This window comes from Homo sapiens, chromosome 15 (assembly GCF_000001405.40).
Source record: "Homo sapiens chromosome 15, GRCh38.p14 Primary Assembly".
Taxonomy (NCBI): Eukaryota; Metazoa; Chordata; class Mammalia; order Primates; family Hominidae; genus Homo; species Homo sapiens.
In genome coordinates, this window is record NC_000015.10 from 68,001,434 (window position 1) to 68,028,119 (window position 26,686).

The 26,686-nt window shown below is 45.1% G+C and overlaps 7 annotated features.

The window, feature by feature from the left end:
- Positions 5,742-6,332: an enhancer, noted in NCBI's record as "OCT4-NANOG hESC enhancer chr15:68299513-68300103 (GRCh37/hg19 assembly coordinates)". NCBI's record gives its function as "activates a minimal SCP1, AML or CMV promoter by ChIP-STARR-seq in primed H9 embryonic stem cells {active_cell/tissue: H9 hESC(primed)}" and the evidence as "EXISTENCE:reporter gene assay evidence [ECO:0000049][PMID:30033119]".
- Positions 7,438-8,323: an enhancer, noted in NCBI's record as "H3K27ac hESC enhancer chr15:68301209-68302094 (GRCh37/hg19 assembly coordinates)". NCBI's record gives its function as "activates a minimal SCP1, AML or CMV promoter by ChIP-STARR-seq in naive H9 embryonic stem cells {active_cell/tissue: H9 hESC(naive)}" and the evidence as "EXISTENCE:reporter gene assay evidence [ECO:0000049][PMID:30033119]".
- Positions 8,324-9,209: an enhancer, noted in NCBI's record as "OCT4-NANOG-H3K27ac hESC enhancer chr15:68302095-68302980 (GRCh37/hg19 assembly coordinates)". NCBI's record gives its function as "activates a minimal SCP1, AML or CMV promoter by ChIP-STARR-seq in naive H9 embryonic stem cells {active_cell/tissue: H9 hESC(naive)}" and the evidence as "EXISTENCE:reporter gene assay evidence [ECO:0000049][PMID:30033119]".
- Positions 15,177-15,884: an enhancer, noted in NCBI's record as "H3K27ac hESC enhancer chr15:68308948-68309655 (GRCh37/hg19 assembly coordinates)". NCBI's record gives its function as "activates a minimal SCP1, AML or CMV promoter by ChIP-STARR-seq in naive H9 embryonic stem cells {active_cell/tissue: H9 hESC(naive)}" and the evidence as "EXISTENCE:reporter gene assay evidence [ECO:0000049][PMID:30033119]".
- Positions 18,306-18,844: an enhancer, noted in NCBI's record as "H3K27ac-H3K4me1 hESC enhancer chr15:68312077-68312615 (GRCh37/hg19 assembly coordinates)". NCBI's record gives its function as "activates a minimal SCP1, AML or CMV promoter by ChIP-STARR-seq in naive and primed H9 embryonic stem cells {active_cell/tissue: H9 hESC(naive and primed)}" and the evidence as "EXISTENCE:reporter gene assay evidence [ECO:0000049][PMID:30033119]".
- Positions 18,845-19,382: an enhancer, noted in NCBI's record as "H3K27ac-H3K4me1 hESC enhancer chr15:68312616-68313153 (GRCh37/hg19 assembly coordinates)". NCBI's record gives its function as "activates a minimal SCP1, AML or CMV promoter by ChIP-STARR-seq in naive H9 embryonic stem cells {active_cell/tissue: H9 hESC(naive)}" and the evidence as "EXISTENCE:reporter gene assay evidence [ECO:0000049][PMID:30033119]".
- Positions 20,611-21,394: an enhancer, noted in NCBI's record as "H3K27ac-H3K4me1 hESC enhancer chr15:68314382-68315165 (GRCh37/hg19 assembly coordinates)". NCBI's record gives its function as "activates a minimal SCP1, AML or CMV promoter by ChIP-STARR-seq in naive H9 embryonic stem cells {active_cell/tissue: H9 hESC(naive)}" and the evidence as "EXISTENCE:reporter gene assay evidence [ECO:0000049][PMID:30033119]".

The following is a 26,686-nucleotide window of genomic DNA, read 5'->3' on the forward strand; positions in this document are numbered from 1 at the left end:
GATAGGCGGAGGAGGCAGGAAAGGATATGCAAGGCATGGGGACAGCCCCAGCAGAGACACGAGGAGTAATCTGGAGTATGTGGGGCACAAGGTGGTGCATGGATGGGGCCCAAAAGTCAGGATGCAGTCAGGTCCTGGATGACCCTGGTGCAGCTAAACAATCCAGACTTCCTCCATTTCCTTCCTGGGGCCATTCCTCAGGCCCATCCTTTTCTCTGTCCCTCTTGTCCACCGGATCTTTCTGCTCCCTGCCATGGCTTCTGGAGCACAAGAGAGATGAGGGAACTCAAGCAAATGTATAAATGATTGAAGGCATTGAGAGCTCATGGTATCTAATAGGGATCTGTTTTAAAGAACTAAATAATATCATTATATAAAGCTGACCATCTCATACGAAATGACTCTGAAATGTTACCCCTGGATATATATTCCAGTCTAGAGAAACTCATGCTCAAAACTAATTATGGCAGCATGATTTGTAATAGCCAAAAAGTAAAAACAACCCGAATGCCCAACAATAGGAAACTGGATAAATAAATGGAGTATTGTCATAGAATGGTATGCTTAACAGCTGTGAAGATAAATGGATTCCAGTTACAGCAGTGGTTCTCAAACAGGGGTGATTTTATCCTCCACCCGGGGGACATTTGGCAGTGTCTGGAGACATTTTCAGTTGTTACAACTGGAGGGATGTTACTAGCACCTAATGAGTAAAGGCCAGGGATGCTGTTAAACATCCTACAATGTACTGCACAGCCCCTCATAACAAACGATTATCCAGCCCAAAATGTCATAGCATCCAGGTTAAGAAACCTTGAGTTACAGTCATTAAAATGGATGACCCTCATAATGTTGAGCACAGAAAGCAAGTTGCAGAAGAATATATATACAGTATAATACTATTTTTTAAAATTCAAAAGTAAGCAAAAAAGAAAGAATACATTGTTTAGGAATTACACATATACAGTAAAATTATGCTGTGATTTCAGAATCCACATTGCAACTATCCTTTAAGAAAGTATCACTTAATGAGTTTTAGTGTGATATCAAAGAGGAATATCCACAATTATTTGAAAAAGCTGTTAAAATACTCCTCCTTGTCCCTCTACAGATCTGTGTGAGGCTGGATTGTCTTCATGTACCTCAATCAAAACAATATAGGGTTGCAACAGATTGAATGCAGAAGCAGATAGGAGAATTCAGCTATCTTCTGTTAGCCAAACATTGAAGATATTTGCAAAAATCTAAAACAATGCCACTCTTCTATATTTTTGTGGAAAATATAGTTATTTTCCATAAAATATGTTATTTATGTTCAACATGTGATGAGTTTGTTGTTTTTAGAAGAATAAATAATAAATGTTCTGTTTTAATTTCTGATACTGTAAATGTTGACAGATATAGCCCACGTAAACAAAGTTTCTAGGATCCTCAATAAATTTTAAGAGCTTAAAAGGATCCTGAGACCAAAATTTTCAGAACAGTTGCCCTAGTCTAAGACAGATCTATTTCCTTTATCTCCTTTCCCATTTTGTACGCTGGAAGAGTTCCATTTAGTGAGCGCCATATTGAGTTTGCTTTCCATTAATAATACCTCAGTTATGGCTCATTTGTAAGTAACATGAAACAGTTATGAAATTCACATGGCTTGGTACCTCAGCCTTTGACTCCTGGGCTCTACCTCCAGTAAATAACTAAAAAGATTTTTTCCAAATTTATTTTCTTCCTCCTCCTTTCTTTGTATTTTTTTGTCATTCCATAAACATCATAGAACACCCTTTAATAATAGATAAAATTAGTTAATTTTAATCAAATATTTACCTTACCAAGACACTGTACTTTATATGAGTTATGTCATTTAAGCCCTCAAAAACCACATGAGGCAGATATTATTTCCACTATTTTTTTTTTAAGAGACATAATCTTGCTCTGTCACCCAAGGCTGGAATACGGTGGCGTAATCATAGCTCGCTGCAGCCTTGAACTCCAGGGCCCAAACAATCCTCCTGTCCCAGCCTTTTGAGTAGCTAGAGCTACAGGCATGCACCAGCATGCCCGGCTAATTTTTAACATTTTTTGGTAGAGGCAAGGTCCCGCTATATTGACCAAGCTGGTCTCAAACTCCTGGCCTCAAGCATTGCTCTCACCTCAGCTTTCCAAAATGCTAGGATTACAGGCATGAGCCACCACGCCCAGCATTTATTCTCATTTTGCAAGTGAAAAACTGAAAGTTAAATGAGTGAATTGACTTGCTCAAGGTTGTGCAGGTAGCAGTGATGGAATCAAGACGTGGCCCCTGGCATAGTGGACTGCAGACCTGGCGGGTTTAGCCCCTATCCCGCAATCATGATCATGCTTGAGAGGGATGTGAATACGTTCATAAGATATATTCACTGTTGTCAAGGAGCTTATAGTCTAGCAGCAAGGATTAAACAATTTTGCAAACATTTGGTAATTTAAAATTCATTTTTTATCCTGTCTTCTTCAATAAAAACAAATTTTTAATGAAACTGATCAGTACCAAAGGGAAAAACACATTTTTAAGAGCTTTAGTGATTTGTATTCACTAGGAGAATACTGTCTGATTCTCCCAAGGATTTGAGAATATTATCAATCATTCACTAAGGGTTGAGCAGAGCATTGGAGGAAAAAAAAAAAAACACAAAAATAGGCTTAGTACTCCAAGAGCCTATGGGTGGGAGGTGGTGAAGCTCACAAATAGCTACAATATTAGGGAGAATGAGGCGAATTCAATACAAGAGGCATACCGTCTTTACCAGATGGATAGAACACATCTGAATGCGGCAACTAGGAAAGGCTTCTCAGAAGAGGTGGTGTCTGAAGGGTGGGCTGGATTGGGGCAGAAAGAGATGGTAGGAGATGGGAAATCTAGGTGGGCAGAAGGATATGTTCAATTTCCTAAGCTTGGCCTCTCTGGAAGCAGACCATGAGGAAGAGTTTATTAGGGATCAACAGCCATGAAAGGAAGGAGAGAAAGGAGGATGAACAAAGGAAGAAGTAAAATTGCAATCCAGGCTTGATAAAGCCTGCCAACCAGGTGGGGAAATCTGTGGGAAGTAGTGCCTGGCAGAGTTGTTCCAGATCAGGTTAAAATGGTCAGGCCCTGATATAGTTTGGATATGTGTCCCCTCTAAATTTCATGCTAAATTGTAATCCCCAGTGTTGGAGGTGGGGCTTGGTGGGAAGTGATTGGATGATGGGGGTGGATTTCCCTGGAATGGTTTAGTACCATCCATTTGGTGCTGTCCGCATGGCGGTGAGTGAGGTTTCTGTTGTTGTTTTTTCTTTTTGGCTTTTTGTTTTTTTGTTTTTTGTTTTTTTTTTTTGAGACGGAGTCTTGCTCTGTTGCCCAGGCTGGAGTGCAGTGGCACAATCTCAGCTCACTGCAAGCTCTGCTTCCCGGGTTTACACCATTCTCCTGCCTCAGCCTCCCGAGTAGCTACGCCCACCACCACGCCTGGCTAGTTTTTTGTATTTTTATCTTTATTTATTTAATTTATTTTTTTAAATTTTTTGGTATTTTTAGTAGAGACAGGGTTTCACCATGTTAGCCAGGATGGTCTCGATCTCCTGACCTTGTGACCCGCCTGCCTCGGCCTCCCAAAGTCCTGGGATTACAGGTGTGAGCCCCCATGCCTGGCCAACAGTGAGTGAGTTCTTACAAGATCTGGTTGTTTAAAAGTGTGTGCCACCTTCCTCCCCAACTCTCTCTTGTTCCTGCTCTGCTGTGTGACATGCCTCCTCCTGTTTTGTCTTCTGCCATGAGAAAAAGCTCTTTGAGGCCTTCCCAGAAGCTGAGAAGCTGCTGGCATCATGCTTCCTGTATAGCCTGCAGAAGCATGAGCTGATGAAACTTCTTTTCTTTATAAGTTACCCAGTATCAGGTATTTCTTTATAGCAACGCAAGAATGGCCTAACACAGTATATTGATACTAAGGAGTAAGGTATTGCTATAAAGATACTTGAAAATGTAGAAGCAACTTTGGAACTGGGTATCAGGCAGAAGTTGGAAGAGTTTGGAGGGCTCAGAAGAAGACAGGAAGATGAAGGAAAATGAGGAACTTATTGGGAACAGGAGCAAAGGTCACCCTTGCTATGCCTCAGCAAAGAGATTGGCTGCATTCTATTCATGGCCTAGGGATCTGTGGAAGTTTGAGCTTCAGAGTGATGATTTAGGGTACCTGGTGGAAGAAATTTCTAAGCAACAAAGTGTTCAATATGTGGCACGGCTGCTTCTAACAACCTGTACTCAGATTCAGGAACAAAGAAATGACTTAAAGTTGGAATATATATATATATATTTTAAAGGGAAGCAGAGCATAAAAGTTTGGAAAATTTCTAGCCTGGCCATGTGGCAAAGTAAGAAAAAGCTCTTTTAGGGGAGGAGTTCAAGCAGGCTGTGGAACTACTTGCTAGAGATATTTGCCTAACTAAAAGGGAGTCAAGAGCTAATATCCAAGAAAATGGGGGAAAAGGCCTCAAAGGCATTTCAGAGATCTTCATGGCAGCCCCTCCTATTACAGGCCCAGAGACCTAGGAAGGAAGAATGCTTTCACGGACTAGGCCCAGGGCCCCACTGTCCTGCACAGCCTTGGAACACTGTTCCCCACCTTCAGCTCCAGCCATGGCTCAAAGGGGCCCAGGTACAGCTCAGGCTACCACTTTGAATAATGCAAGCTGTAAGCCTTGGTGGCTTCCAAGTGGTGTTAAGCCTGCAGTTGAACAGAGTGTGAGAGTGGTGGAGGCTTGGTGGCCTCTGCCTAGATTTCAGAGGATGTATGGAAAAGCTTGGGCATCCAGGAAGCAGCCTATTGCAGGAGTGGAGCCCTCACAGAGAACCTCTTCTAGGGCAGTGTCAAGAGGAAATATAGGATTGGAGGCCCCACACAAAGTCCCTGCTAGGGCACTGACTAGTGGAACTGTGGGAAGAGGGCCACAGTCTTCTAGACCCCAGAATGGTAGATCCACCCACAGCTTGCACTCTCAGCTTGGAAAAGCCACAGGCACTCAACTCTAGCCCATGAGAGCAGCCTCGGGGCTGAACCCTGCAAAGCCACAGGGGCAGAGTTGCCCAAGGCCTTGGGGGCTTACCCCTCATATCAGTGTGCCCTGTATGTAGTACATAGAGTCAAAAGAGATGAGTTTGGAGCTTTAAGATTTAATGACTGCCCTTCTGCGTTCTGGACTTGTGTGGGGCCTGTAGCCCTTTTCTTTTGACTGATTTCTCCCCTTTGGAATGGGAATGTGTTGCGGGAAGTCAGGGACCCCAAATGGAGGGACTGGCTGAAGCCATGGCAGAAGAACGTGGATTGTGAAGATTTCATGGACATTTATTAGTTCCCCAAATTAATACTTTTATAATTTCTTATGCCTGTCTTTACTGCAATCTCTAAACATAAATTGTAAAGATTTCATGGACACTTATCACTTCCCCAATCAATACCCTTCTGATTTCCTATGCCTGTCTTTACTTTAATCTCTTAATCCTGTCAGCTGAGGAAGATGTATGTCACCCCAGGACCATGTGATAATTGCATTAACTGCACAAATTGTATAGCATGTGTGTTTGAGCAATATGAAATCTGGGCACCTTGAAAAAAGAACACGATAACAGCAATTGTTCAGGGAATAAGAGAGATAAACTTAAACTCTGACCACCAGTGAGCCGGGCGGAACAGAGCCATATTTCTTTTCTTTCAAAAGCAAATGGGAGAAATATTGCTGAATTCTTTTTCTCAGCAAGGAACATCCCTGAGAAAGAATGCGCACCTTGGGGTAGGCCTATGAACGGCCCCCTTGGGCGTAGCCATCTCTTATGGTCGAGACTGCAGGGGTGAAATAGACCCGTCTCCCATAGTGCTCCCAGGCTTATTAGGAAGAGGAAATTCCTGCCTAATAAATTTTGGTCAGACCGGTTGCTCTCAAAACCTTGTCTCCTGATGTTATCAATGACAATGGTGCCCGAAACTTCATTAGCAATTTTAATTTCGCCTCGGTCCTGTGGTCCTGTGATCTCACCCTGCCTCCACTTGCCTTGTGATATTCTATTACCTTGTAGAGTACTTGATGTCTGTGACCCACACCTATTCGCACACTCTCTCCCTTTTTGAAAATCCCTAATAAAAACTTGCTGGTTTTTGCAGCTTGTGGGGCATCACAGAACCTACTGACATGTGATGTCTCCCCTGGATGTCCAGCTTTAAAATTTCTCTCTTTTGTACTCTGTCCCTTTATTTCTCAAGCTCGCTGACGTTTAAGGAAAATAGAAAAGAACCTATGTGAATATCGGGGCAGATTCCCCGATAGGAATGTTTACCCAATGCCTATATCCCCATTGTATCTTAGAAGTAAATAACTTGTTTTTTTTATTTTACTGGCTCATAGGTAGAAGGGACTTGCCTTGTCTCAGATGAGACTTTGGACTTTGGACTTTTGAGTTAATGCTGGAATGAGTTAAGACTTTGGGGGACTGTTGGGAAGGCATGACTGTATTTTACAACGTGAAAACAACATGAGATTTGAGGGGCCAGAGGTGGAGTGATATAATTTGAATATGTGTCCCTCTAAATTTCATATCAAACTGTAATCCCTAAGGTTGATGGTGGGCCTGATGGGAAGTGGTTGGATCACGAGGCCAGATTTCTCTTAAATGATTAACACCATCCCCTTGGTGCTGTCCTTCAGACAGTGAGTTCTCATGAGATCTGGTTGTTTAAAAGTGTGTGGCACCTTCTTCCCGACTCTGTCTCTTACTCCTGCTCTGGCATGTGAGGGTGCCTGTTCCCACTTCACCTTCCACCCTAAGTAAAAGCTCCTTGAGGCCTCCCCAGAAATGGAGCAGATGCTGACATCATTCTTCCTGTACAGCCTACAGAACTGTGAACCTATTAAATCCAGCCAAACCATATCAGTTACCCAGTCTCAGGTATTTCTTGATAGCAATGCAAGTATGGCCTAACACAGGCTCTTACCCCCATCTCGCTCAGTTTAACCATAGGGCACCTATAAGCCGCCACAGGGCATGCCCACAGTTGAGGTGACTCTCTGCAGCTGAGGCAAGGACTCTGCTTTGGGAAGAATAACCCTGTGGCAGCTTGTAGGAGAGATTTGAGGCCAAAGGTGTGTAGGTTTATCCTTGTTTTTTGTTTGGTTGGTTTTTTTTGTTTGTTTGTTTGTTTTTTTTTTTGTTTGTTTGTTTTTGTCTAGCTCCTCTTCTCTAAGAATGGCCCTACCTCTTCCACATGGCAATGATGCTCATACAGGGGTAGGGGACTGACACAACTGGGCAAGTCAGAGTTCCTTGCATGGGGATTTGTAATTGAGCCAAGGAGATTTCAGCCCCTATCAGGTCTGGTCTCTTGAATGCAGATGTAAAACTTTATGGAGTAATGGCCATGTTCTCTACCATGGGGTCTGAGTAACAGGAGAAAGAGGTACAGACTGAAATCACTGAGGACACAGAGAGATGCACCAAAAGAGCTGGAGTGACTTTCTTGTCCTTGACTCCAGCATTTTTTTTTGAAGTTTCATAGGTCATCCCTGAAATCTTTCAATAAATCTTTCTGGCCAGTCTTTTTTCTTTTTCTTTCTCTCTTTTAAAAAAATTTGTCCATTTCCATTACTGGCTTCTGTTTCCAAAAAGGTCCTGATTGAGAGATTAGTTGGGAACTATCAGACTAAGAAATGCCAGGTGCCTTAACATAGGGGCCAGCAATGGGAATGGAAGGAGGATTGATTTGAGAAGTATTTAGTTTAGCAGCAAATTGAATATGGAGGGAGCAAAAAAGAGAAAAGAGGAAGAGCTTTGGTGCCTTGTGAATGTGAGGATGGCAGTCCTAGAAACTGAAAGAGGGAAGTCCAGAAGAAGAGCTGGTTTGGAAGTGGGGCGGGGCATGGTGATTTCAGAGTAGCTTCTGCTGGTGGGTGCTCCACAAGTCCCTGGCATCACTCCAGCCTTCCTCCTGTCTGAATACAATGCTTCTTCTTCTTTTTTTTTTTTTTTTTTTTTTGAGGTGGAGTTTCACTCTTGTTGCCCAGGCTGGAGTGCAGTGGTGCAATCTTGGCTCACCGCAACCTCTGCCTCCTGGGTTCAAGCGATTCTCCTGCCTCAGCCTCCTGAGTAGCTGGGATTACAGGCATGCGCCACTGCACTGGGCTAATTTTTAAATACAATGCTTCTAAACAACCTCCCTACCTCCAATAGACTCTATACTGAATCCCAAACTTCCATAACTCCATTCTGGTATACCCAATCATCTAGCCCAAGGAAGGATCTTATAACCCTTACAGTCTGAGGGAATTGAAGACAATTCTTTCCATTCATGTATTTAATCATTTATTCCATAACATTCGACAAACATTTGTGTGCCAGATCCTGGGACACAAAGAAGATGAAGGAAATGTCCCTGGATCACAATCTAACAAGACAGATAAACCAGCTATGATAGAGTGATACACGAAGACTGGTTGGAACTCTCAGGAGGGACATCTAACTGGGAGGAATCAGGGCAGGCTTCATACAGAAAGTAAATTTTAAATCAGATTTTAAAGACTAGGAAAGATTTATCCAGTTGGAGAAGTAGGAAATGACATTCCAGATGGAAGGAAGCATGGAGGAAGCAGTTCAGTGTGGCTAGAGCTCAGGATAGATGAGAGGAGGGATGAGGCTGGAAAGGCTCTGTTGGGCTAAGGAGGCTGGCTTTGATCTTGTATGTGGTGGGAAAAAGCAAATGATTTTTTGATCTGGACTATATCGTGATCAGGGACACTTTCATTTTAAAGTAAACTTTTATTTAAATATACAGATGGAAAACTACACAAAGCATAACCTACATCTTGATGAATTTTCGCGAAGTCAACGTATCCACATACCCAAGAACCCAAATCAAGAAACAGAACAAGGCCAACCTCCCAGAAGCCCCTTTTGGTCGCTGCCCCTTCCCAAGGACACACATGTGTTTGCAAAAATCTTCTCTAGTAGCAGCACAAAAGATGGGTTGGAGAGGTCAGAACTAAAGACAGAAATGTTCTAGGAGGCAACAGCAATAGCCCACGTGAAAGAGGCTGAGGCCTGATCCCAGGCAGTGACGGCAGAAAAGGAGAACAAAGGGCTGTGAATGTGATAGAATGACAATATCCCCTCCCAGGAATTCACAATATGCATTTACTCCTCCAGGCAACTGTGATCTGACCCTGAGAATTTCCAGTAGCTTCCCTTGTAATTTAAAAATGCCCAGGACTTGGCCGGGCGTAGTGGCTCATGCCTGTAATCCCAGGACTTTGGGAAGCCGAGGTGGGCAGATCACCTGAGGTCAGGAGTTCGAGACCAGCCGGGCCAACATGGTGGAACCCCGTCTCTACTAAAAATACAAAAATTAGCTGAGCGTGGTGGTGCATTTGTGTAATCCCAGCTACTTGGGGGGCTGAGACAGGAGAACTGCTTGAATGCGGGAGGCAGAGGTTGCAGTGAGCCAAGATGCAGTCACTGCACTCCAGCCAGGGTGAAAGAGCAAGACTCCGTCTCAAAAAAAATAAAAATAAAAATGCCCAAGACTTGATATATACAGCCATGTATCACTGAGCCACCAAGATACATTCTGAGAAAGGTGTCAGTTAGATGACTTCGTCCTTGTGCAAACATCATAGACAAACCTAGATGGTATAGCCTACTACGCACCTAGATTAGATGGTCTAGCCTATTGCCCCTAGGCCACAAACCTGTACAGCATGTTACTGTACTGAATATTGTAGGCAACTGTAACACAATGATAAGTATTTGTGTATCTAAACATAGAAACAGGACTGTAAAAGTGTAGTTTTTTAATTTTAGGGGACCACCATTGTATAGGTGGTCCATTGTTGACTGAAACGTCATTATGCAGCATGTAACTATATAAGTAAGGGGAGCTGCATGTCACAGTGATGCCACTTTTAAAGGGAGTACTTTGGGCAACTTTCTGGCATTGTTTAAAAACAACAACAAAAACCCAACTGGACCTTGTAATGAGAGACTACAAATCCTTCCTGGGGATTGTTAGCCTGGAAGAGTCTTTTTGCAGGTTGGAACTGCTCACTGAGGCACACTGGCAGAGCTATGTGGCACCAACTCAAGTCGTTTAACTTCACGAACACCCACACAATATTAGAGGGAAAGAAATTTTAAAAGCAAAAAAAAAAAAAAATCCGGTTAATTGCCATACATGTTTTTGCAATCCTGACACAGTAATAACTTGCCTGTAAACACCTCCCTTGAAGAATTGGCTAATAGGATGTACAGTACATGGCAAAGGAAATTGTTTATTCAACGAAGACTTTCAAAAGGGGCTGTCGATTCTTCTTATGAATTTGTGATGACTCTGTAAGATTGGAGAGGATAAAGGGACAATTTTCTGTTTGTTTTTTGAGATATAGTCTTGCTCTATTGCCCAGGCTGGAGTGCAGTGGTGCGATCTCGCCTTACTGCAACTTCCGCCTCCCAGGTTCAAGTGATTATCCCGCCTCAGCCTCCTGAGTAGCTGGGATTACAGGCGAGTGCCACCACACCCAGCTAATTTTTGTATTTTTAGTAGAGATGGGGTTTCATCATGTTGGCCAGTCTGGTCTCGGACTCCTGACCTCAGGTGATCTGCCCACCTCAGCCTCCCAAAGTGCTGGGATTACAGGTGTGAGCCACCGTGCCTGGCCAAAGGGACAACTTTCTAAGGGTGTAGAGTGGAATAGATTTATGTGAAATAGAAATGTCCTGTGGCTTTGGTTGTTTTATCTGTAAAATGAAGGCACTGGGATAGACCTGTGGTTTTTTATTTTGTCCTGTAGAAGTGGGTCCCTAGACCTCTCTTGCCACTACATCCTCCCTGCTTTAACTAGAGTGCCTCTGCTCTCACCTGCTTTTTGGGTTGCCATGTAAGTTGTTGTTTGAAAAGAGGGATTGCATAACTGAAACAAGATTGGAAAACCACTGGATGAGATGACTTCCAAGGTGCCCTATTGCTCTAAAATTGTAGGAATTCATCTCTTGTCTGACTTGTGGAAGGTGCTGAAGATACAAAGATTTAAAAAATAACTCCTACCCACAACAAATTCATGAGTGTAAGATATGCATGTTGATTGGGTGGGGGGGGTGGGGGTGTGAAACAACATCTATAGTATCAGTGATAGTAACATGGCAAGACCTAAAATGAAGGTATGACTCAAACATTTGGGGGAGAAGATTTTGGAAGGTTTTTGGAGAAGGCGACATTTAAGTGGATATTAAATGAATAGTAGGAGCTCCCCAGGTATAGAAAGAGGGAGGAGGAGGTATTGGAGACAGAGAGATCAGCATAAGCAAAGTCACGGAGGCTATAAGATGGTGCATGGTTAGGGAATTAACTATATTCATTATGCTCATTATGTTCCCTGCATACCCATGGAGCGTAGTTAGAAGTGGCCAAGAGGGATGCTGAATGACACTGAATAGACTAGAGGAGCCCCTCCCGAACTCTTGCCTTCTAGGAGCTCTTTGGGGGTTGATGCTGGTTTCTGCAACTATGTGACCAACTAACAATAAGACTGTTTAATCATTGACTGCACCACACCTTACTTCTATTATTTTGTAACTCCACTGGGGTAAATAATCAAGGAATGTGTTGATAAGATGATGGGTGGGGCCTCAAGGAAAGCCTAGAATAAGAGGAGTCATAGCTACCTGCCCTGGTGGCCAGAGCCAGGGCCAGGACTCTCCTCTAGGCCAAGAGGACTGCTTCAGGCTACAGGCCAGGTGCCCTTCCACCAATAAGACTTTGTGTTTAGCTCTCAAGCCCATTGTCTGGGAGAGGGAAGACTTCCAGTGATGATGAGGGAGAGTCAGTTTCTCCAAGATAGGGAAGGGACTGAGTATTTAGAGGTAGTGGGTCCATGGGTGTTGGATTCCTGAACATCCATTGACACGCAATGCCCCAGACTGAGGGTAGCTACGTGCTGAGCCTAGGAAAACTGGACCTCAGACGCTGTGGAATGAAAGTGTGAATGAAAGATCTTTGGGCCCTGCTTGAGTTGGAGGGAATGGAGCTGCCTCACAAGTTGGACAAGGAGCATCTCGGCAGTGACCAACATGGACCCGGAGGGGCGTTTCCTAAACCTTCTGGGCTTTTTGTCTTCCTGGGATTCCTGTACAATTCTAGGAAGGAAAACCCTCAATAATCTGCTCTCCTGAAAAAATGGATGCTCAAAACCCATTTAATTTGATTTAGAAAGAGAATGAGATGTGATGTTTCCTGCATCTAAATATTGTGGAGCAAATGCTTGCCACTATAATGGCTTTTCAATGGGTGTCAGACACAACCAGACCTGTATTTTGGAAAGATCACTCTGGCAGCTGAAGGAGGATGTGCTGCGGGGCAGAGACTGACTGTGGGGAGACGAGCCACAAAGCCATTATGGCAGTGCAGGAGAGGCGGGGAAGGAGCAAGGGCAGTAGAGACGGAGATTCACAGTTGGTTGGGGACACATTTTGGAGGCAGAATGCACTGGTCTTGGCAACCAATTAAAATAATAAATGCTAAGAGGGAGCATTTATCTAGTCTATAACAGTGGTTTGCAACTTGACAGTGCATTAGAATTGCCTGGGAATCTTTTAAACCTCCCCTCCCCACAAAGCCCAGGCCACACCTCAGACCAATTAAGTCTGCATCACTGCCTGTGGTACCCAGCCACACATTTCCCTTCCCACATCCCCCTACTCTGTTGCTCAGGCTGGAGTGCAGCAGAGCAATCATGGCTCACTGCAGCCTCAACCTCCCAAGGTCAAGCAATCCTCCCACCTCAGCCTCCTGAGTAGCTGGGGATATATGCATGTGCCACTACACCTGGCTAATTTTTTTTTTTTTTTTGGTAGAGTCATGTTCTCACTATGTTGCCCAGGCTTGCATGTATTTTTGAATGAAGCCAAGATTGAGAACCACTGCACTAAGAGGTCAAACTTGGTAAGCAGAGTGAATTGGGATGCTATTAAATGAGATAGGGAACAAATAGTTCTTTGTGGTTAGGGTGTAAAATAGGTAGAGAAGCGGGAGGAAGAGCAAGTTCAGGCAGGAAATAATGAATTCAGTTTGGGATGTACTGACTGCAGTTAAAGGTCTGAGGTCCTGGAGGGGATAGCCAAGAGCCACAGATAGGGGGTTGGGGAGAAGGGGCTTGGAGAGGGTCCGGTCATCACTTCCTCTGAAGTAAGGATAGGTAAAGATTTGGAGCAGCTGCCATAGGGACTGAAATGGTTCTAAGTTAAGGACAATAGCATAGGAATGTATGCATCAAGGGCTAGCAATGAGGGGTTAGGTGAGATTGCTCTATATTAACTCTAGTATTAACCCTGTATTTGAATTTGACCAACAAACATTCATCTCAATCAGTGGTAGGCTGGAGCCAGCATGTACCAGTTTGCAAAAGCAGAGGATCAAATTTACAGGAATTTTGCCAGACAGTTATGAAACACAGTCATTATTAAAATTGAATTACACAAACGTAAATGTATTAAAAATAAAGGTAATAAATAATCCCTTATTTCTCATCCCCCCCTTCTTTCTTTTTTTCTGACTACATTCTGGCTTTCTTTGCTTCCCAGACAAGGTGGCAGAAATCACCATTCCCAGATCCTGAGTTTATGAGTTCTGTCTATTAACCAGCCACACTGAAACTGTAATCTCTCAGTCTTGATTCCAGATTCCCAGGGAAGGAGCTCATTGGCTCAGGTTGTTCTAGATACCCAGCTCTAGACTTATCAAAGATTTTTCTATAAAATAAAGATATGGGAGATATGGAAGCCAGACCAAAATAAAAAGCCTACATCTCTAGGTCCATTTTTTTCTTAGGGCAAAAGAATACATCATTTGTGCCCAGAATGCACTGGGTATTGAAGAGATGACAACTGTCTTCTGCCACCAGCCATCCAAAACTTTATAGGAGACCTCTTGTTCTTACTTCAGCCTAAGACAAAAACCAGATAGCGCTCGTCTCTGGCAGAGAGATGAACAGCTCCACAGAGTGTCAGGCAAACAATATACATTAGCCTAAGTGGCAATTTATAATTTTAATGGCCCAGCTGCTTGTCATGGTAGGGTGGGGTACATTTTAAGTTAGTACTGTTTACTGCGAATAAGGCTAAATTTCCCCCATCATTCATTGCAAAATGTCCATGGCCCAGAGGTCTCATCAATGTTTAGGGCAGTTGCTGGCTTAGGGCTTGGCTGACTTCTTAGTTCATTAACTTCTCATTGACCAGCTTGAGGTTAAAAAGGGGAGCACAACACAAATCTGTGGAATTGAGCAAAAGCGAGGGTTAGGATTAGGACTGGCACACTGTTTATTATTTCCCTTTTCTCTCTGTTTTTTTTTATTTTTTTAATTTTTATTTTTTAATAGAGACAGCATCTCACTATGTTGCCAAGGCTGGTCTTGAACTCAGGGGCTCAAGCAGTCCTCCTGTCTTGGCATCCCAAGATGTTGGGATTATGGGAGTGAAACACAAAACCTGACCCATTATTGCACATCATTAGACTGTGAGCAATTGAAGGCAGGGCTCTCTAGAATCTAGACTCCAGATTATCTTGGCCATCCCATAGCTCCAGGTATCAGGCCTCGGGATGTGGTTTGGATGTGTGTCCCTGTCAAATCTCATGTTGAAATGTAATCCCTGGCCGGGCACGGTGGCTCATGCCTGTAATCCCAGCACTTTAGGAGATGGAGGCAGGCTGATCACTTGCAGTCAGGAGTTCAAGACCAGCCTGGCCAACATGGCGAAACCCATCTCTACTGAAATACAAAAATTAGTTGGGGGTTGTGTGCACCTGTAATCCCAGCTACTTGGGAGGCTGAGGCAGGAGAATCGTTTGAACGCAAGAGGCAGAGGTTGCAGTGAGCCGAGATTATGCCACTACACTCCAGCCTGGGCGATAGAGCGAGACTCCATCTCCAGAAAAAGAAAAAGAGACATAATCCCAAATGTTGGAGGTGGGGCCTGGTGGGAGGTGATTGGATCATGGTGGGGGGGGGCTCTAATTATTTAACACCGTCCCCCTTGGTTCCCGTGAGATCTGGTTGTTTAAAACTGTGTAGCACTTCCTGCCTCTCTCTCTTCCTCCTGCTCTGGCCATGTCAAGTGCTGGCTCCTCCTTCACCTTTTGCCATGATTGTAAGCTCCCTGAGGCCTCCCAGGAGCAGATGCCACCATGTTTCCTATTCAGCCTGCAGAACCGTGGGCCAATTAAACATCTTTTCTTTATAAATTAGCCAGTCTCAGGTATTTTCTTATAGCAATGTGAGAACAGACTAATACACCTCACATAGACTGGTCCTTGATTTTTTTATTTTTTACTTTTTTAAAGTCAGGGTCTCACTCAGCCACCCAGGCTGGAGAGTAGTCATGAGATCATAGAACACTGTAACTTTGAACTCCTGGGTCCAAATCGTCCTCCTGCCTCAGCCTCTTGAGTAGCTCGGCCTACAGTTGTGTGTCCTAGCCAACTACATCTGGCTAGTTTTAAAATTTTTTTGTAGAAATAGGTCTCATTGTGTTGCCCAGGCTGATCTTGAACTCCTGGGCTCAAGTGATCCTCCTTCCTCAGCCTCCTGAGTAGCTAGGACCACAGTTGTGTGCTACCACACCCAGATAATTTTTTAAATTTTTGGTGGATACAGGAGTCTCACTATTTCCCAGGCTGGCCTCGAACTCCTAGCTGTAACAGACCACAGGCTCTTTGCCTCCCCAAGCAATGAAAGTTAACACGGAGCAAGCAGATTTTCCAGACAAGGCTTTTATTTCAGGGCTTGTGCTCAAGCACAAGGGAGACAGTGAAAGTGGAAAGGATCTGTCAGCTGACTACCAGAAAACGCTGGTGGGGATTTTTTTATTAGACCGAGAGTGGGAATCACATCAGGGGTAAGGTATGCAGGCTGGGCTGGGCAGTGCACATGATGGGTACGGTATGCAGGTCACCATATCTGATAGTGATGGTTATCTTGAGTAATGGGCCACCTGATCGTATGGCCAGAGGCAACAAGGCTGTAAATCAATTGTTCAGCATTCCTGCCCTAGGTGGGACTTGGCGCCACCTTGATGAGATATCTGGGTCTTCTGAGGCCAGTTTCTAGAATTCTTTAAGTAAAAGAAATGGTTAAACATGGAAGCACAGAAGAATGGCTATTTTCTTTGTATGACTAAAGCCTCAGGGTTAGGCGGTATATCATCAGTGAGATAGTGGTGTGGGTTTTGTGATCAGTGGGACAACAGAAGAAGGAAAAAGAAAAAAAGGAGGCTGAGGTGGGAGGATTGCTTGAGCTTGGGAGGCTGAGGCTGCAGTGAACCATGATCACTCCACTGCACTCCAGCCTGAGCAACAGAGCGAGACCCAATCTCAAAAAAAAAGGAAGAAAAAGAAACTAGCTGGGCGCCATGGCTCACGCCTGTAATCCCAACACTTTGGGGGCCAAGGCGGGTGGATCACAAGATCAGGAGTTCGAGACCAGCCTGGCCAATGTGGTGAAACCCCATCTCTACTAAAAATACAAAAAAAATTAGCTGGGCATGGAGGCGAGCGCCTGTAGTCCCAGCCACTCAAGAGGCTGAGGCAGAAGAATCCCTTGAACCTGGGAGGCAGAGGTTGCAGTGAGCCGAGATCACGCCACTGCACTCCAGCCTGGGTGACAGAGCAAGATACCATCTCAAAAAAGAAAAAAAGAAAGAAACTATTAGAGCCATGAATGAATCTGACTTTGATGACTCAGAGAGCATAAGAATATGTGAAGGAAGAACTCTGTCCCATTTCTACATGACATCAAGGGATCCTCCCCCCTCGGCCTTGCTACATGCTGGGATTACAGGCGTGAGCCACCATGCCTGGCCCTTGATATTTTTTCAAGAGGTAAAGACTTGTTCCTTATAAAATCCTATATTTTATTAAACAAATAAGACTTTAATGCAGTTAATTTCATCCCCACTCTGGTCAAGGAAATATATATTATGTTTACCAGTTACTCAGCAAATGTTTCTCAAGAACTGTCTTAGGCCCAGTGAAGCCAGTCAAAGAATTATCAAGCCCATTGAGGAGGGCTTGATCATTCAGTCATCTACTTGCAGGTGGTTGGTGCAAGCTATGTTATATTTAAGCTGTATTTGGATTACCAATTTTCAGGAAATTAAGACAGAATGAAATATACTTGGCATTGAAACTATTTTGAGCCAGGCATGGTAGCTCATACCTGTAATCCAAGCACTTTAGGAGGCCATGGTGGGAAGATTGCTTGAGCCTAGGCGTTCAAGACCAGCCTGGGCAACATGACAAGATCCTGTCTCTACAAAAAAAATGTTTTTCTAATTAGCCGGGAGTGGTGGTTTGTGCCTGTAGTCCTGGTTACTCAGGAGGCTGAGGTGGGAGGATTGCTGAGCCTGGGAAGTCGAGGCTACAGTGAACTACAATCACTCCACTGCACTCCAGGCTGAGCAACAGAGTGAGAAGTCCCTGTCGAAAGAAAGAGAAAGAAAGAAAGAAAGGAGGGAGGGAGGGAAGGAAGGAAAGGAAGGAAGGAAGGGGAGAGAAAGAAAGAGAGAAAGAAAGAGAAAGAGAAAGAAAAGGAAAGAAAAGAAAGAAAAGGAAAGAAAAAACTACTAGGGCCATAAATGAATCTGTCTTTGATGACTCAGAGGGCATATTTTTTCCTTTCTTCATTTAACAAATATTAAAATACTGAATGTCCCTTATGTGTGAGGTCCTGTTCTAGAGCTTAGAAATATAACCATAAACAAGACACAGCCCCCACCTTCAATGAGGTCTCTAGTGTAGTTGGGGGAAGCCCGTAGCGGGAGAGAAGTGGGCTGATGGGCTGGTGAGTGGGGATTTCAGTGCTCAAGGAGCAGTGCATGTCAGGATTGCCTAGAGAAGGGGTGTGTTACTCAGATGTTTGGGTGGGGCATGGCCCAAGAAGGCCCTCCAGAGGAGGTGACATCTTCTTTTGAGACCAGAAGATCAGTAGGAGTTTGCAAAGGGAAAGTAGGGAGGGGAGGGTGGGACAACATGTTCCAGGTAAGGGAACAGACTGTGCACAGGCTGGGACCAGAGAGCTTAGCCTCCAGGAACGAACCACACTCAAAGGTCCAACAGGGCCTCAGGGCTGTGGTTGAAGTGCTAGTTGTTACTGTTCTTCCTGACTGTATTGCTAAACTGGGACATTTGTACATTACAGTTTATTTCTTCTCCATCATCTGCCCACCATGAGCTCTATGAGGTGGGTAGGTGTTGCACCTCCATTTCACAGACAAGGAACCTGAGGCTTGGCATTGCTGTAAGGTTCTGTGAGTATGGGGAAGTCTTGGGGAGTTGGAGGTTTTGCCTGCCTACCCTGGCCTCTGTCACTCCACAGCTGCCTTAGATGAAAGATCACTTGAAAGGGTATCTGATCTACCTTCATACCTCTGGGCAAAAAAGTGTCATTTGCTCCTCTGGGAGCTGATGGAGGTACGAAGGCATAGAATTTCTGCAATCCTGCAGCGTAATTAAACACATGGATGCTAACACAGGCAGACCTGGCCTAGCTCTGCCACTTGTTAGTAGCCGTGTGCCTTGGGCAAATTACTTAACTGAGGCTCAGCGATGCCTCCATCCAGCTGAGACTTGATCTGAGTTCTTCCCCTCTTCAGCAGCAGGGGTGGTGCAACACAGCTCCAGGGTCTCACCTAGTGCCAATATCACTGTTGGGGAGAGGGATAGTGGGGAGTGGCAACGTGCTCCTCATCAGACATGTGGTACCACTGAGACAACCGTCGGCCCTGCCCACATGGTCCCTTTGGGCCCAGTAATGCTGTTATCTTCATGTCATGTTTGGGATTCAGGCACTGTTTGTGAGTCTGCTTGTAGTCACAAGCCAGCACCGATTCCTTCCTGGGGACGTGCCACCTCTCAGGAAGCAGAACCATGCTCCCTGCTGATCAGAGACCCTCAGGCCTCTCTCTTCTTTTTCCCCACCAAGATGCTCTATTTTTGTCCCTAAACACCACCAATACCTGCAAACCAGCTTCTTCCCTTCATTCCTTAGCAAACTCCCTAATTTTCCCTCAGGCTTCTTGGGTTTCCCGCAAACAAAAGCCAGAAAGCTTTGCCTCCTTCTGCCTTCTGCTCTGCCTGAGAGCTTTTTCAAGGTTTCATAGTTCAGAGATAACTCTCTGTTTAAATGAGAGGAATGGGGAGGAGCAAATGAGGGAGGGAGGCAACCTATTAAAATCTCAGTATATAAAATCTAGCTGCATAGGCAAGAGGCAACTGAGGTTCCCAAATTCGGGAAGCAAGGGGTACATAGAAGGGGATAGATCCAAGGGATGGGCAGAAGAGAGAATCATTGACACTTATAGACCAGTTCAATGTGGGAGTCTCACCATGCATGCCTGAATTAGCACTCTGACCCAGGTCAATCAAACAAAGCAATCAGGAATTGTCATTTTAAGTTGACCTTCAGTTACCTGCAAGTAAATGAGTTGATTTACCATCTGTTGACTCCTCTCAGTCAACTGAACACGGTAGAAATAAACACGTATGTTTTAGGTTGATTGGGCTGGATGAAGGGTATAAGGGGCTTCATATGATTTTGTGTGTAAATGTTTAAATTTTTGCATATTAAAAATGTTTAAGTAAATCCATTTAAAAGCCAACTTTTATGATCCATCAACTTTTACATTATAAAAAGAAATAGTTGGCTGGGCGCGGTGGCTCACGCCTGTAATCCCAGCACTTTGGGAGGCCGAGGTGGGCGGATCACGAGGTCAGGAGATCGAGACCATCCTGGCTAACACAGGGAAACCCTGTCTCTACTAAAAATGCAAAAACAAAATTAGCCAGGCGTGGTGGCGGGCACCTGTAGTCCCAGCTACTTGGGAGGCTGAGGCAGGAGAATGGCATGAACCTGGGAGGCGTAGCTTGCAGTGAGCCAAGTTAGTGCGGCTGCACTCCAGCCTGGGGGCAACAGAGCGAGACTCTGTCTCAAAAAAAAAAAAAGAAGTAGTTGAGCTAATATTTCAGACTCAATGTGAACACTTCATGCTACTACTGAGATGTTCTCTATAACCGTTAGTTCAGATCTAATGAATGTTTGAAACTTGAGAAGATTTCTTGCTAAAGAATAAAAGAAACATGCAGCGCAAGAGAGCAAGAAATGAGGGGAAAACCCTAAGGCCATAGGAGCCATGTCTGTATTTTCTCTTTTTTTCTTTCTTTTTTTATTTTTTTGAGACAGAGTTTTACTCTTGTTGCCCAGGCTGGAGTGCAATGTTGTGATCTCCGCTCACTGCAACCTCCACCTCCTGAGTTCAAGCAATTCTCCTGCCTCAGCCTCCCGAGTAGCTGGGATTACAGTCATGCGCCACCACACTTGGCTAATTTTGTATTTTTAGTAGAGATGGGGTTTCTCCATGTTGATCAAGCTGGTCTCGAACTTCTGACCTCAGGTGATCCACCCACCTCAGCCTCCCAAAGTGCTGGGATTACAAGTGTGAGCCACCGCGCTCGGCCCATGTCTGTATTTTCTTAGAGGAGAAACTAAAGCCAGAAAGGAAAAGGAGAGTATCACAACATGAGTGAATTTGGCCTTACCCTCAGCATCCTGGATTAACAGGGAGAGCAAGGGGGCTGGAGCCTGCGGGTACAGAGCAAGAGAAGATGACCCCACCTCAAACTACGCCCCAGGGCAGCCAGCAGAAGTCAAGACACAGTGTCCAAAGAACTTGTTGTACTTGGAGTCAGACAGGAGGAAGCACCTTTGTTCTAGGTCAATTTATTCGGAACAACGCTGCAGCCAGAAGTTGGCTGTTTAGAGAACGTTGGCCAGTTCCTCAAAGGGAGAGGCTGACAAATGTAGGCAGAGTGTCCCTGTCACTGGTCCAAGGGTCAAGGGAAGTGGAGGGACAAGACAGACACAAGGCAGATGCCCAGCTCTGGTGCCTGGCTGAGTGTGGTCCTGAGGCTCTTTCCAGTTGGCAGGAAGGAAAAACAACTTCTCGTTACTTCAGCTGATGTTCAGGATACGTTGAGAAAGTGACTTGACCCCGTCTACTTTTTTTTTCTCATTTTTAATCTGTGGCTCCTGACCTCGGAATGACTTCTGTGAGACCGTAGTGTCTGGTACCTCATGGCTTTTGCTCACCGTCTTCTCAGATGGTCTCCAGGCTTCAGCTTCCCTGTCTGCTACACACTGTCTTAGGATGAGGCGCCTCTGAGGCACCTATTTGTATGCTGGAAGTTTGCTGGGGAGAACTCTCAGGATCAATGCCTGTAAGGAGAGAGGGATGAGGGCCTCAGCCAACCTTGGGGGGAATTCTGGAGTTGGGATGGCTTTTCAGAGTTGCCTCCAATGAAGGTAACGTAATCACCTGATGGGTTCTTTTTTTTTTTTTTTTTTGAGACGGAGTCTTACTCTGTTGCCCAGGCTGGAGTGCAGTGGTGCAATCTCGCCTCACTGCAAGCTCCACCTCCCAGGTTCATGCCATTCTCCTGCCTCAGCCTCCCATGTAGCTGGGACTACAGGTGCCCGCCACCATGCCCGGCTAATTTTTTTGTATTTTTAATAGAGATGGGGTTTCACCGTGTTAGCCAGGACGGTCTCAATCTCCTGACCTCGTGATCTGCCCGCCTCAGCCTCCCAAAGTGCTGGGATTACAGGCATGAGCCACCGCGCCCGGCCCCACCTGATGGGTTCTACCTGCCCGCTGCACAAATAAAACCAATTCACTGAGACCATAGTATTGCAGTAAAGAAAGAGTTTAATTAATGCAAGACTGGCCAAGTGGAAGATGGAGTTATTACTCAAATCAGTCTCCCTGAAGACTTGGAGGTTAGGGTTTTTCACAGATGGTTGGGTGTGCCGGGGCCCAGGGAATGAGTGCTGCTGATTTGTTGAGGATGCGATCACAGGAGTGTGGAAAACGTCCTTGTGTGCTGAGTCCACCTCTGGGTGGGGGCCGCAGGACCGGTTGAGTCATGAGTCATGAGTTCAGGTAGGGTCAGTCACTTACCAGAATGCAAAAGTCTGAAAAACATCTCAAAAGACCAATCTTAGGTTCTATAACAGTGATGTTATCTATAGGAGCAGTTGGGGAAGTCACAAATCTTGTGACCTCTGGCCACATGACTCCTAAGCAGTAAAGGATGATCAAAACTATGCCTACACTTCAGCAGATTTCAGGCCCTTCTCATAGTCCTAATCTTACGGCCTTTCATGAGTCTTACAAAGGCTGTTTCAGCCTCCAAATGAGGAGGGGACCCGTTTTAGGGAGGCAGTGTTATCATCTTTGCTTCAAAGTTAAACCATAAATTAAATTCCTCCTGTGGTTAGCTTAGCCTATGCCCAGGAATGAGCAAGGACAGCCAGACTGTGAGGCTAGAAGCAAGATGGAGTCAGCCATGCTAGATTTCTCTTGTTTTCATAATCTTTGCAAAGTCTGTGACAATGATAGCAAGGAGCCAGGGCTTTGTCCTCCCGCTAGGCATTGGATACTATCTGCTTCTTGGAAAGGGGTGTAACTTGGCTGAGGGCAATCTTCAGAGACAGAGACTTAGCTATGGGTAGTCAATAGCCAATAATGCCAACAGCTGGGCAAATAGCACCTGCATCCTGAAAGGGATATGGTGGCACAACTCAGCATCCCTTACATCTTCTGTCTGACTCTTTTCTAAAGAGTGACTCTTGTGGGTCCCACTGGTCACTCTGCAATAGAGGAGGTGTCCATTTGTGAGTGTTTATCACGTCCGTTCACCCTACAGGCTTCCCTCATTTCCATCCTATAAAGATGGCCACCACTGGCCAGGCATGGTGGCTCACGCTTATAATCCCAGCACTTTGGGAGGCTGAGGCAGGCGGATCATCTAAGGTCAGGAGTTTGAGACCAGCCTGGTCATTATGGTGAAACCCCATTTCTATTAAAAATACAAAAATTAGCCAGGTGTCGTGGTGGGCGCCTGTAATCCCAGCTACTCTGAGAGGCTGAGGCAGTGAGCCCAGGAGGCGAAGGTTGCAATGAGCCAAGATCGCGTCACTGCACTCCAGCCTGGATGACAGAGTATGACTCCGTCTCAAAAAAAAAAGAAAAAACCGAACAAACAAAAAACATGGCCATCATTGACTTGGGCTTGATCCTCTGTCTAATCAGTTGGGGGATAGGTTGCAGAACCTACACCACTCAGAGCAAGACAACTTTTTCAGAAGGGCCTGTAAAAAGAATGCTGTCACATGATAGCTGTAACAAAGGTGTTGGGGAAATGTATGTCTGGTACCCAGAGGCCTCAGCAAGATTGCAGAAGCTCACTTAATTTCAAACCCAACTGCTTGAAGGATCTGTGGCTGTTAATACTCTCTCTACCAGTGTCAATATTGGCCTGGAGCCTGTGTGGAGTTGAGGCTGCCCATGGCTGGCTGGCTGGTCTCTAGCTGAGAGGGCCTAAGGAGGAGATAGGTGCTGACAGAGACAACATGGTCTTTGGCACATAAAATCTTCATTCTTCGGGAGATAGAGCTATCGTAGGAGTGAGGAGAACCTAGGCAACATTGAACTCAGGGTTAAGAGACTTGAATTTGAGTTCTGACTCTGGAACTTGCTAATTACAAGGAAGTCACTGGCCCAAGGTTAGTCAGTCAGCAAATGTTTAGTGAGCATCTGTGGCCAGGAACTGTGTTTAGCACTGGAGAGTCCCTCTCTGGCCTCATTGTTCTTCTTTGTAAAACAAAAGTGTGGAGGCTGAGTGCAATGGCTCATGTCTGTAATCCCAGCACTTTGGGAGGCCGAGGCGGGCAGATCACTTGAGGCCAGAAGTTTGAGACCAGCCTGGGAAACATGGTGAAACCTGGTCTCTATAAAAAAAAAACAAAAATTAGCTGGGTCTGGTGGTGCACCCTGTGATCCCAGCTAATTGGAAGGATGAGATGGGAGGATCACTTGAGCCTGGGAGGTGGAGGTTGCTGTGAGCCAAGATCACACCACTGCACTCTAGCCTAGGCAACAGAGTGAGACCCTGTCGTATACACACACACACACACAAATGGGTTTGGGAGATTATCTCAATGAATTAAAGTGATGGCAATACTTTCAGAAACGAAAATCCAAGGTGCGTACTCTGCCACTACCAGAATATTTGATATTGAGGATACCCCCAGGAAGCTCAGGATGTAGGATCTCATTATATACCTACAGAGACTCTATTTCCCAATCCCCCACAGTTGTTTCCCCCAGACATATTACATAGAGTGACTTAATCCTTAGAACCATGGTGAGAAGGGAGAGGTAGATGTTATATAAGTTATATAGTCTCCTATCTTGCTAATTTTTTTTTTTTTTGAGGTGGAGTCTCGCTCTGTCGCTCAGGCTGGAGTGCAGTGACACGATCTTGGCTCACTGCAACCTCCACCTCCTACGTTCAAGCGATTTTCCTGTCTCAGCCTCCTGAGTAGCTGGGACTACAGGTGCACACCCCCACACCTGGCTAATTTTTGTACTTTCAGTAGAGGTGGGGTTTCCCGTATTGGTCAGGCTGGTCTTGAAATCCTGACCTCAGGTGATCCACCTGCCTCAGCCTCCCAAAGTGCTGGGATTACAGGCCAGAGCCACCACACCCAGCCTTTTGCTAGTCTTTAAAATCCTCTAAGTGTTTGCCTTGATTTTTTGAATTCTTTAGAATTTAAATGGTCTGAGTTTAAATAGTCCTGAACACATTTCTCAAACACTGTTATGTAAACAAAGCCCAGCCATGGTGATTACACAGTCAGGTTTTTTCCAACCCCTGGAGACTTGTATCATAATCTTATCTTAGGGTCAAGCATCGGTACTGCTGAAGTGGTTTGCATTTGAACAGTCTTTCAGAAGTTGGTGCCAGATTCAGAGTTCTCTGGATAGCAGATCTGGTAAGGTAGGTGTATTAGTCTGTTTTCATGCTGCTGATAAAGACATATCCGAGACTGGGTAATTTATAAAGAAAAAGAGGTTTAATGGAATCACAGTTCCACGTGGCTGTGGAGGCCTCACAATCATGGTGGAAGGCGAAAGGCATGTCTTACCTGATGGCAGGCAAGAGAGAATGGAAGCTATACAAAAGGGAAAACCCCTTATAAAACCATCAGATCTCATGAGACTTATTCACTACCACGAGAACAGTATGGGGGAAAACATCCCCATGATTCAATTATCTCCCACTGGGCCCCTCCCACATCACATGGGATTTATGGGAGCTACAATTCAAGATGAGATTTGGGTGGGGGCACAAATCCTAACCATATCAGTGGGGTCACTAAGGTATATAGGTATATAGTGTAGTAAGATGGTGTCACCTTAATCACATTTACACTCTGCCCCGGCACAGAACCCTGGGAGCTGAATATTGAGGAGCAGAGAGGAACAGGGATCAGAGGCACAAAATTTGGCTTGCTCTTGTAGATAGCAATAGAGATGGGCACAAGGCTGAGTGAAATCTCATCAGAGTAGTGAGTGCTTAGCACATATAAGGCACTGTCCTTAGTGCCGTAAGAGATATCAAGAGAAGGTAAGATAGATTAAAATGTATTGTGTTTGTTTTATGTTACTCACTTTATACATACTAGCAGTCAATCAATAATAATAACAATGATAAGTGCTTTGAAGTACCTACTATGGGCCAGGCAATGTGCTTAATACTTCATATCTTCTTTTCTTTTATTTCATGCACTCATTCAACACATTTGTCTTAAGATCTACTAGGTAGTAAGTGCTGGGAGACACTGATGAATAAAAATCTCTGCCCTGGAGGACTTTTCATTCTGGGAAAGATAGGCCCATAGATGTAGTAAACAAGTGATTAAGTGGAGTGTTAGAAGATGACAATTACTGTGAAAAGAATAGATCTGGGTTAGGTGGATCAGGAGTGCCTACATCGGGGGAGCACAGAAACGGTTTACAATATTAAATAGATGGTCCAGGTGAAGCAGGACAGTTCCCTGACCCCTTCGTGGGTGGGAACTGGAGTGCACTGGCACTGGCAGGGGCGAACTCCACTCACTCTCTGCTCCACCCCACGTGGGAGTGGGAGCACAGGTGAGCAGGTGCAGGAGCCAGGGTGTGTGCTTTTAGGTGCCGGCAAGAGCGAACTCCGTACTGGCCCATGGCAGCATCTAAGGGAGGGTGCCGGAAGTCCCTGAAGCCACAGAGGAAGTGTTACAGTGCCCTTTACCTTTGCTGTCTGTAGACAGCTTAACAGCTCAGCAGAGGGTCAGTGTGACAGCCTTTTGTGCCCACACTTGAGGCACACGAGTTTTTGTCTGGAGTCCAGGAGGAATAAGGTCTCACAAACGAATTGAAGGTGGTAAATGTGGGGGATTTCATTGCCAATGAAAGTGGCTCTCAGTGAGAAAGGGAGCTGGAAAGGGGACGGAACAAGAAGGTAATCTTCACCTGAGATTCTCCAGCCATCCCTGCCAGACTCCTCTCTTCAGAGGATGATAAAAACTATATGCCTACATTTAGGATGAGTCTCTCTCTCCGACATCCAACCATACTCTCCAACATCCAGCTCCTTCTCGTCTCTCTCCCAGGTAAGCCTGGGGTTTTTATGCACACAGGATGCGGGTTAGGGCAGGCGCCATAGTGGTTTTGGAAAAGGCAACATTTGAGTGGGAAAACAGGGATGTAAGT